This window comes from Homo sapiens, chromosome 6, assembly GCF_000001405.40.
Source record: "Homo sapiens chromosome 6, GRCh38.p14 Primary Assembly".
In the NCBI taxonomy this organism is placed as follows: Eukaryota; Metazoa; Chordata; class Mammalia; order Primates; family Hominidae; genus Homo; species Homo sapiens.
In genome coordinates, this window is record NC_000006.12 from 126,639,391 (window position 1) to 126,651,700 (window position 12,310).

The following is a 12,310-nucleotide window of genomic DNA, read 5'->3' on the forward strand; positions in this document are numbered from 1 at the left end:
CTGAGGCCTGGGTGGACTGCTTTAGAAAGTTTTTGTATTTGCTCCTGTTAGATGCCATGACTCTACCAGCCTTAAGCTACTTTATTGTTGCCTTTAAGTTTTTACATCATTCAGGTAGTTCAGTTTTACTGTGCGCATCTAGGTGAGGGCTAGTTTATGGTTATTAATTCTTAGGGGCAAGAAGGTTCAATAGAGGAAATTGTCCTTACTACCTTCTAGCAGTAGGGTAGGCTGCTTTTTTCTGGTTCAGTTTGCCATCAGGATTTATTCCTTTGGTGCTCTGGTCTCCAGGTAGACTCTTCAATTTGTCCAGATCCTAAAATTTTTCTCCCATTCTCTGATCCTTATGAAACCATGAGAATTGAAGTCCAAGTTCACTAGGTTTGGCAAATTCTCTTCAGGAGACAGCCAGGTTCAATGTTCAGCTTTTCTCTGTGTTCCTGATTTCATTTCACTTTTCGGCCTCTGAATATTTCTTACATTCATTCCAGCTCGTCAAAAGTATTTGTAAAAATGTTTTGTACATTTAATTCAGCATTTTTAATTGTCAGTGGAAAGGTAGTTCATGTGACCTCATCCTCCAAGTTATAGGAATTGAATATACATTAAAATTAGTGTGGATCATGAGGTCAGGAGATCAAGACCATCCTGCCTAACACGGTGAAACCCTGTCTCTACTAAAAATACAAAAAAATAAAAAAAAAAAAATTTAGCCAGGCATGGTAGCGGGTACCTGTAGTCCCAGCTACTCGGGAGGCTGAGGCTGGAGAATGGCGTGAACCCGGGACGCGAAGCTTGCAGTGAGCCGAGATCGCACCACTGCACTCCAGCCTGGGCAACAGAGCAAGACTCCGTCTCAAAAAAATAAATAAATAAAATAAAACAAAATAAAATATTTAGATTTAATTCATTTTAATTCATTCTATAGACTTTTTCTGAGGGAGTGATCATAAGGTTCAATAACATGTTAAGGCTTTGTATAAACATTATTATAGTTCACTGATTTTTTATTTTAAACATTGCTTTAAAAGCAGTGCAATATTTTATTTCACCTTCAATGGATGAGCATAAGTATTAATGTACTTGCAAAGGGCCCTGGAATCCTCTAAGAATTCAGAGAAGGGAATAGTTTCTTAACCTCCCTGTGTGAGTCCTTCTCCATAGTTAGTATGCTTATCTGGAATGTCTGACACAGGGACAGCAAAGGGGGTGGGCTAAACTAACAACAGATATTCAACAAAGATTATTGAAATGCGAAGTAAAAAGGAGGATATGTATTTTTCAAAGATCGTCACATAAAATCTCCAGTCAAAACATACTGACAACTATGAGGCCTTCTGTGCTGTTGGGGATTGATGGAACCATGATGTATGATGCTATAAACATAGCAATCTGTTACCTGTTGACTTGCAGAGTTACATTGGCCTCATCAACATACCTGTGATGTCAGTTGTTTTGGAATTTCGTTCTCTCAATTACTTTTTATAGCCTAATCCCTCTTTCTACTTTTCCTAGCTATATTGCTTTAAATTAGCTAAAACCAATTTACCTCTCTACTGTTGTTACTAATAGCTTTGATTCTTTTCACAATTCTTACTTTCTTGTAATGCCTATAATTTTAAAACTATTTTAACTGACACATTTGCTGTTTCTTTTAATAAAGCTTAGAACAGGTTCTCAGTGAGTCAGAGTAGGAGGACAAAAAAAAAAAAAAAAAAGAATCCTGAAAGTATCCTACCACAAGATATTTTAACTAACCCCATGAGAGTCCTGCTGCTAAAATTGTACACCTACTGGTCATTGCTCATAGATAGCTCATAAAGCTTTCAGGCAAGGATATTCCTAATACACAAGCTCAAAGTAAATTGGAAAAGATGGTCCTCCCATTGCTAGATTTTCACTGCACTCATAATTCTTGAGGATCCATGTATTAAGTAGCAGAATGGCAAAATAATTTTAAATTAACTAGTATTCTCAATAGTTTTGACTTTTAATTTTTTATTAAAATGAATACAAATGTTTAAAATTCAAATAAAAGGTTAAAGCATAAGTTTGCTTAGCTATGCTGTGACTATAATCACTCCTGTACTCTTAAAGACTTGATTTGTTTCTTCTGTACTTAATGTGCTATTCAATTCACACAGAATATCTGTCACTTATTATAATAAGTAGTTTTAGCCTTTAGGACTAAGGCTGAGAATTTTGTTAACTGCCAAGAGCATACGTTAGAGAAAATAGCTCAGTATCTGCTTTCTTTAAAAGAAAAAATTACTTTGTATACTCATTTAAATTGTTACTTATAACTTGTTACTAAAAATAACAATTATAATGTACTTACCATAACATTTATAAATATCTCTAGAGTTTTGTAATGTCATAGAAGCACCAAAAAAGAATGATAAATAGGGTGGATCACCAAACAGTAAAGGAAAGCCAGAGACAATAAAACATATTGACAAAAATGCTGGCAATATTGCAAGAAGTGAAAGAAATAACAGTAGGAAAGAGTGATGGAAGTGCTCAATGATGATGAAATATTTCTTTCTTATATTTCAGGAATGGGATGTAAAAAGATGAACAAACAAAAAGAAAAGATAATATTGCAAAACACCGTATTGTGCTTATACCCAAAGAAGTTAAAATTAAATTTATAATCAATTATTTTATTGCATAAAGTTAATCACAATTTGGAAGGCCATTGTTTCTAAGTTTTCTGTAAATTTTACTTTACTCACAATATGTAGGGTCCTGGTTTAGGCCTGGTAGAAGAGCTAAATGACATTATGCATTTCTTCTAAAAGCTCATGAACCTAGACATGTCCTAAAATTATAGGGCAATATATGATTGATGCTAAATGTGAGTTAACAGTCAATAAGTAGTATATGGATGAGTAGTTCAGAATGAGGAAAAATCTTAAGGGCTAAAGTGATGAGAAATTTTTGATGAAAGATGAGGAATATTGGGAGAGAGGTACAAGATTATAAAAGAGAAAAGGTGGGTTATTATTTCTTTAGGAAGAAAGATGTGGAAAGATGCAGAGGCATGTGCAGAAGCAGCAAGATCAGTGTGTAGGTATCTGTGCAGAGGACTGGGAGAGACCAGATTAAAGTGACTTGCTCAAAGTAATAAATATTAACTCCAGAAACTGAAAACTTTCAATTCCAACTACATGAGGAACAATGATCTCTAAGTTCAAGTTACGTGTTTCTAAGTAAGTCAAGATTTGGTTTCTTCTTGGAGAAAGGGAAGAGATTTTTCAGTTTTGAGAATTGAAAGGAGAATGAATATGGAGATATATTTTGAAGGTCGAGTTAAAAAAATGAGAAAGTAAGTTCCTTAAAGTAAGTAAAATAGGGTGAGAGTGGGTGGGCGTGTGTTCATAGGTGGCTATGACAGGTGAAGAAAAACAATACTGGAATTCAAATAAGCAAGAGATTATTTTGTTAAATGAGCCTTTTATGGGAATGCTGAATTTACCAAGAATAGCAGACGGGAGAAATCACAGTAGAAAGAAAACTTGTGAATTAGGTGCTAGAGTGTTAAAGACATTAAATCAAAATGTGAAATTTCCAGAAGTTTTCAATTCATGCAAATATATTTTTCATATTTAAGGCAAAGTTAGAGAAACATAAAAATATTTATAGTGCTATATTTATGTTTTTATTCCTTTAAAGATCTGTAGCTACCATGTTAAAACTGGGAAAAGATTATTATATATAATTTTACTCATAAAATATATTTTAAAACAGGTTTGAAAGTCAAATTTTCATCTGTAAATGTACTACTGATAAGCATCCTAAGGCTTAACTGTTTAATACAAATAGAATTATAGGCTGATGAAATTTAATAATTCTACCATTTCTTAATTTTCATTTATTTTATGAGGACCTGGAAAAAATTCAAAAATAGATAGTGTCACTATCACTGCCATTACTGCAATTTCTGGTAGTTCTCCTGTTAGCGCTATTCTAAATGTGGATGCTGCTGGCTCCATCTACGGATCCTGTCCACTGTCCAAATATTGTGCTAAATGATTTATATCTCAAAAGTCTTTTAAAAGAGTTACCGGGCCGGACAACTCATGGCGGCGGCGGCGGCGGCAGCTGCTTGGGCGCGGTGCGGTGTTGACTGAGCTACGAGCCTGGCGGAGGGTGCGCGCCGAGCCCCGGTCCGGCCAGGCCCCTGCGTGCGTCCCAGGCTCCGCACCCCTGATGCTGCGCGGGTGCTGAGCCTGCTCCGGCCGGGACGATGGTGAAGTATTTCCTGGGCCAGAGCATGCTCCGGAGTTCCTGGGACCAAGTGTTCGCCGCCTTCTGGCAGCGGTACCCGAATCCCTATAGCAAACATGTCTTGACGGAAGACATAGTACACCGGGAGGTGACCCCTGACCAGAAACTGCTGTCCCGGCGACTCCTGACCAAGACCAACAGGATGCCCCGCTGAGCCGAGCGACTGTTTCCTGCCAATGTTGCTCACTCGGTGTACATCCTGGAGGACTCTGTTGTGGACCCACAGAATCAGACCATGACTACCTTCACCTGGAACATCAACCACGCCCGGCTGATGGTGGTGGAGGAACGATGTGTTTACTGTGTGAACTCTGACAAGTGGCTGGACCGAAATCCGCCGGGAAGCCTGAGTCTCCTCTAGCTTATTTGGTGTCTTCAGAGCTGTCCAGGAATTTGGACTTGCCGGTTCAAAAGCAACGTGACCAAGACTATGAAGGGTTTTGAATATATCTTGGCGAAGCTGCAAGGCGAGGCCCCTTCCAAAACACTTGTTGGGACAGCCAAGGAAGCCAAGGAGAAGGCAAAGGAGACGGCACTGGCAGCTACAGAGAAGGCCAAGGACCTCGCCAGCAAGGCGGCCACCAAGAAGCAGCAGCAGCAGCAGCAACAGTTTGTGTAGCCAGCCCACCACCACCACAGCACCCCAGACAGCTAGGCTTAGCCCCTCGGCCCTCCCTCCATTGTACTTTATCATTAAAAATCAACTTCCAGCCCTGTCAAAAAAAAAAAAAAGTTACCATTATAATATTCATTGCTCTGATAAAGAAACTGAGGCTTAGGGAACTGAAATACTTTTTCTAAACTTATTGTTTGCATATTTAAATATTCTACATATTTTTTACTAATGTTTTCTCCGATTTATGTACAACTTCCTAAGAGAAGTGTGTTAAAATTTTCCACTGTCATAGTAAATTTTTGAATTTCTTCTTCTCATGATTTTGGCAAATTAAATTTTATTTTGTGACAATTTTGAAAGTTTATGGGAACTCTATCATTAATTCTATTGTTTGCTTTCGTAAATATGCAAAAATTCTTTTTATCTCATGATTATTTTTACCTTAAAACCTTTTGTATTTGATATTAATGGAGTTATATCAGTTAGCGTTTGCCTTGTTTTGATCATTTTACTTTTAGCCTTTCTTTTACTATGTTAGTTATGTTAAAAGACATTTAGCCGGATAGTTTTAAATTTTTATATTAATCTGAGGATCTCCTTTAATTGCTGACTTTAATCCATTTATATTTATTGTGATTACTGATAAAGTTTGTTTTATTTTTATTGTCATGGTGGTAGTTCTGTTTATTAGTGATATTGCTCTAAATTTTTTTCTTCCAGTTTCTTCCATCATTGAATTTTTAAAAAATCAAACGTAAAACAAGGACAAACACTTAAAATAAGATGACTATTTTCTGGAAATATTTCTAAAGATATTTGGCCAAGAATATATAAAAGGAAGGCTGCTGTGGAAACTTTTTGCTCTTCTGGTACAATGTCATAGCTTTTCCTTTCTCTTTCTTCCTACTGGAATGCAGACGTTCTGGCTATAGCTGTAACAGCTATCTTGTAACCAAAAGAATAGCAGAGACATTGATAGCCATGGGACAGAACTTAACAGCTTTCTCTTGTCTTCCTATTATATGAGGAAAATAATCTATTTTAAGTCACTGTACTTGGGTTATAAATGGAGTCAAATACAAAATATATATATATTTTTCTCTCTTAATTTCTAGTAGATGGTTATCCCACCCACCTTTCTTCTTTTGATTTTGAAATCGTACATTCATTTTTGATCCTTCAGTTGTTATTCTTCAATTTTTAGAAAACAATTGTCTTTACAATGGGCTAAAACTACTTGATATATCTCTACCCTTCTAAATAAATAATATAAAAGAATGCTTTTGTCTCAGTCACCCTCATCATTCTTTCCTATCTCCCAAATATAAAGCCTGATATTTTAGATTCAATTTATTTATACTGTTCAAATTAGTGACTGTTACTGTTATATTTATAATCAAAACATGTTTAGATTTCCCAATATTTTTACAAGTTTATTTTTGTAATCTTCTTTCTTATTTTACTGTCTTCTTACTGAAATTTAATAAATGTTCCTTCAGTTAGGTCTGCAAAACTTGATCTATTTTGATCTTTGCTTGTTAATATATTTATTTAAGCTTCACATTTGAATAAGATTATGTAGAATTCTAACTTAAGATATATATTCCCTCAGCTCTTTGAAGATGTTACTGCATCGTCTTCTGACTTCTGTTGTAGTTCTAAGAAATCTGCTCTCATCTAATTGTTCTTTTGTGTGTCTTTTTTCTGATTGCTTTTATTATATCTTCCTTGTCTTTGATTTTCTTTCTTCTGTTTCTTATCCTGACAGTGGCAGCAGCAGCACTCCACCCACCTCAGCAGCTCAGGTTTTTTGGTTTCAATAATGGAAACTGCTGCTGCCCAGCAACCTCAGCAGTCAGTCTCTAGCAGTACCAGTAGCAGGCAACACTTGTAGCGTGGATGTGGCGGCAACAACAATGGGAATGTGGGCTCCCAGATTTTTTAGTGTCCTCAGGAGTAGGAGCTGTTGGCTTCTTACAATATGGTTGTACTAATGGTTCCAACAGCACAACAACAACAGCAACACTTAGGTAAGACCTAAGTGTTATCTTTTGCTCCTTTAGCTCTTCTAACACATTGTAAATAATTCTCTATATTATACTCTTCTAATTGAAACACCTAGGGTATTTCTGTTTCCCACCTGGATGTTGATTAATACAATATAAGTGAGAATATGGCAGATTATATTAATGTTAAATATTATACAACCTTATCCCAATGATATTAATATTGGCCATCCAATTTGTTTTAACTAGTGAAATGGGAGCAGAAGTAACATGTGTCATGTTCAAGCACAAGCTTTAAGAGATATTACATGGTTTTCACTCTATTCTCATTTACCTCTGCGACAAGACCAGCAATGTCCCAGAGAAGAGCTGCCCAATAGTTTGGATTCTGGAGTGCAGACATGAGCCTGAGGCACAGCCGAAATATAATGGGCATGTAACATGAACAAGAAATATACCTTCGTTGTTGTAAACTACTAATATTTTTGAATAATTTGCTATTGCTGTATAATTTAGGATGACATATAATTTGGGTTTACTTTTACTTATTATGTTTGAGAATAATTGGACTCAATCTGAGAAATTATTTTTCGATTCTGAAAATTCTGCCATTAGCTTTGTGAATATTGCCTCCTGCAACTCACAAGCCTCATTTTCTTGTTCTCAAATTAGAAATATATTGACTTTCTTATTATATTCTTTTTAAATTGTAACTTCTCATATTTTCACATGGATAACTCTTTGTGTTACATTCTAAATAATTTTCTCCATCTGTCTTCCAGTTTATCTGTGTCTAATATCCTAATAGACTGTCCATTATTTAATGACTATATTTTTATGCCTGAAAATTTGATTGCATTTTATAAGTGTTTTTCCCTCTTTATAACATTAATTTTTCCTTTTGATTTATATTTGTTCTTTTGTCTTTTTTCATTTAAAATGTACTTATTTCATAATCTTTAGATTGTTTCCGTTATTATAGAGTTAAATTCTTTCTGTTTGTGGGATTCACTGACTCTCCCTCATAATGGGATTATTTCCTCATATATTTTATAGTTTTTAGCAATGAAGCCATCTTCAATGGGGATTTTTTCCCTTCTAGGAATGTTGTGAACTCTAAACTAGTGTAATATTATTTATTTTTTTCACATTTCCATCTTCTAGTGCTAGAGAAATTCATAGGACTAGGACTAGGAGTAGTTTCTCACTAATATTTTTTGGCTTGAGAAGTCAAGCACTATGACATTAATGTAAATTTTAGACCCCAGACTTGTGTACAGCACAGGTTTGGGGCTTTGATTTTTCAACAGGAGGTTTTATTCATCAGTATCCTCAATCAGCAACAAATAAGTTTTGCTGGTCAAAGTTTTTTTCAGGTTCTTTTTCATTGAAAGGGTATCCCTCCAAGGACCCCACATTTTCTATAGATATGTCAATGCTACACCTACCATCTCACTTTATGTGAGATTAAAGACCCAGTACTTACATGTTAGAGCTTTTCTCCATGTTTGATAGCTCTTAGGGACCATATCTAATCTAATATCACAAAAAAGCTATTTAGCATCTGTTTGCAAAAATATCATTCTATTAATTCTAGTTTGTGTTTCTAGTATCAACTGTTCTAGCTCAATGTCTATATCAAGTTTTGTAGTATTTTGTGCACATTTCTCTGTGTTTGTAAGGAAAAGAGTTCTTAGGTTAGCTCAAAATATCTAATTGCTAGATGTAGAAATAAATATATGCATATATGTGTATAGGTTATACATATGTATGTTTCATATATCTATATATATGTTTCATACACATATAGAAATATATATGAAAGGTAGAGGTCATCTATATGTTCACTGAGTTAGCAGAAAACATAATTTAAACCTGAAAAACAAAAGCAGACAAAAATTGCATGGAGAAATGCAGAACCTTATTAAACAAAGGAATAGGCAAGGTTATGGATTTGGGGGAAGAGTGGCCCTTTGGTTAAATTCAAAAGAAGCAGTGTTTTTATTGGATCAAAGGAAACTGGGCCCATTACTGACTAGGAATGTTCTCTGGAGCTTGCTGATTGTTGAGAGATTTAGCTCAAAGTTGTGTGAGCCACGAATACATACCACCATTATAGTATTACAATTTTCTCCATTTGTCTATGTATTTACCTTTATTTGTGAGTTTTATACTTTCATATGCTTTGGTGCTGCTCTTTAGGTCCTTCCATTTCAACTTGAACAATTTCTACTAGCATCTTTTTTTTTTTTTGTAAAGCATGTTGAGCAATAAACTCATTCTGCTTTGGTTTGCCTAGGAAAGTCTGTATCTTCATTTCTGAAGCATAGTTTTTATCAGGTATGGCATTGTTGGTTGGCAACTTTTTTCTTTTGGCACTTTGAATATATCATTCCACTTTTTTTCTGCCCTGCAAGGTTTCTGCCAGAAAGTCTGCTGATAGTCTGATGGTGTTCCCTTGTATGTGGTAATTTGCTTTTCTTTTGCTACTTTCAAAATTCTCTCTTTGCCTTTGATTTGGAAAATTTTATTGTAATGTATCTTGGTGTAGATTTCTTCTCCTGTTTGGCATCCCTTTGGCTTCATGAATTTGGATGTTGATTTCTCTTCCAAGATTTGGGAAATTTCAGCCATTTGGAGAAGGTACACATCTCTGAGACTTCCTCCACCAGCAGGGAGATAGAGGAGTGGAGAGTACACAGAGGTTTCAGGGGCTCCTAAAATTTGTAGCCAGGCTAATTGCTGGAGGCTTTTAAGCCAGTCTGGAAAGACTGGGAAAGGTGGCTGTTTCTTCAATTGCTCAATACCAATGCAAATTTACAAGAAACATGAAGAATTTGGAATATATGATACAACTAAAAGAACAAAATCATTCTCTAGTAACCAATCCTAAAGAAATGGATATGTATATACTGCTTGACAATTAAAAATTATTGCCTTGGAGCTCAGTGAGCTGTAAGAGAACACAGAAATACAACTAAAAGCAATTAGATAAATGATACGTAAACAATATGAGACTATCAACAGAGCTAGAAACCATTAAAAAAGACCAAACAGAAAATCTAGGACTAAAGACTATAATAAATAAACTAAAACTTTTAATAGAGAGCTTCAACAGCAGGCCTGGACAATCAGAAGAAAGATTCAGCAAACTTGAAGTGAGGTCTTTTAAAATTATGCAGTCAGAAGAAGAAAAAGAAAAAAAGATTGAAAAAAGTGAAGAAACCTTAAGAGAGTTATGAAACATTATTAAATGAACCAATATATGCATATGCATATCTCAGAAAGAGGAGAGAGAGAGAGAGAAGGGGGAGGAAAGCTTATTTAAATATTTCTTTAAATTTTACTGTAGAGTTATTTTGTTTCCCTAGTTGTGTCATATATTCCTAATTCTTCATGAGTCTTGTGATTTTGCATGGTATATGAGCAATGGAAGAAGCAGCTACCTTTCCCAGTTTTTACACACTTGCTTTGCTGAGGAAAGACCTTCACCAATCAACCTAGCTAAAGATTCTAGGGGTCTCTGACACCTCTGTGCACTCTATTTCTCTAACCTCTCTCCTGGGGAAGAATGGGGATGTACACCTTCTCTCATTCTCATAGGGCTGAGTTTGCTGCAGTTAGTTGTCCACACCTTCTCCCTAGGGCAGTGCCTCAAAAGCCTGTGATGTTGGATGCATGCTTCATTCCTTCCCTTCCTCCAGGAGGCAAAAGTCTGGGCATTGCCCAGATTTTTCCACTCTTGCAGAGCTGTCTGGCTGCAGGAAGATTTCTTCTCCTTTTCTTGGTTCTTAATTGCCTCCAGGCTTCTGGAATGGAAGCCCCAATAATGGAACTATGCTGGTTCCGTTAGTATTTTGTGTGAGGTAAAACAGAAACCAGTCCCTATGGCAGTGCACTGAAAGGCCTGAGACATTGGATACATACTCCACTATTTTCTCTGAGGAAGAAATACAAGTTGGAGGCAGTCTTTCTTGGTCCTGAGATGGGCTGGCATGGGGGAGGAGGTAATGTGGATAAAGTGAAATTGTTCTTTTCACCTTTTTAAATGCAACTGTTCTCAGTTTGTGATGATCTGGGGGTACTGCTTCATCTGAGCTGGATTCTGAACCTCTCATAAGGATTTTCTGGTCCATACATTGTTGTGAAATCAGTGTTTCTCCCAGGAAACAAAGCCTGGGACTTTCTATTACACCATGTTGCTATCACCTCCTCTCACATTCTTCTTGGTGAAACATTTTATTTCCTTGTAAATGCAGTCTTTATCCAGTCAATTTTTGCTTGAGATCAATAATTTTTCAAGATAAAGATTAGCTCAAGCACATAGGTCTACTTAGTTGCTTCACTTTTGTACAAATCACACACGAACTAAAAGCACAGTGTTAAGCAGTGTTTCATCTCTCCCCAAATGTGAAACATGCAGTTTTATCATTTTAATTGTTTCCATTTAAATACTGTTTAAGTATGATGTTGGTGTTACTGTAGAAAATTAAATATAAATTTTCTCCAAATTAATGTAATTTTAAGCAATCTTTTGACTATAAGAAGTTTTCATTAACTGATTTAAATTAGTTGTTCTCAAATTTGAAAACTCATGGATCCTGAGAATATATTTGCATTTTCCTGAAGAATCTATACCCTCCAGTTTGAGAAACAACTGTTTTAAATATTGATTTTCATTAAAAGCTTCTTATTAAAATATTTACAAAATTTTATACAGCTGGACTTAGCTGAATTTTCTTATTTTTTGCAGTTTATGACAGCTATTGTTAGAGATAATGATTGTGGTAAACTTGTGGGAGTCGTTCTATTTCCTTTCTCTTTTCAGGAACACTGCCAGTATCAGGAATCACTGGCTGCCTCAAAATTGCAGCTGTGGTTGTCTTCTCAGATTACTAGGAAATTAAAGCAGTGTTCGTAGCAAACTTGAAAATTATTATTCAGCAAAGATTTGTACTAAGAAACACAGTTAATGAATGAAGACATTTAAAGGAAAAGATTGAGTAAAAATAAGAGAAAAATCTAGTTGTTAAATTAACCAATAGATCTTATACAAAAGGAAAGGAGGAAAAGAAAAATGCTGTATTTCAAGTTCCTCTTCCAACATTGGATTTTTTTTCCTCTCTCTCCTCTTTATTTAAATTTAATCTCTTTGTAGGTGATTATTTATTCTACTTTAAATGAAATATGCATAAGAAAATTGATACATGTTTGCAAGTTACAGTAAATTTTGTAACATTGGTTCTGACAATCTCCTTAATAATGAATGTGTATGTGTTCTGATCCAGAACTAGATTTCATTGTGTGATACCTGTTAAAAGTTTGGATGATATTTACTATCTTTATTTGTATTCTCTTTACATATGGACAATTAACCACTCTAGAAAGCTCATTTCAA

General features: G+C 35.3%; 1 pseudogene; it reads left to right on the top strand.

Annotated features, from left to right (window-relative positions):
• On the top strand, positions 4,070-5,008 carry PRELID1P1 (PRELID1 pseudogene 1; annotated as a pseudogene).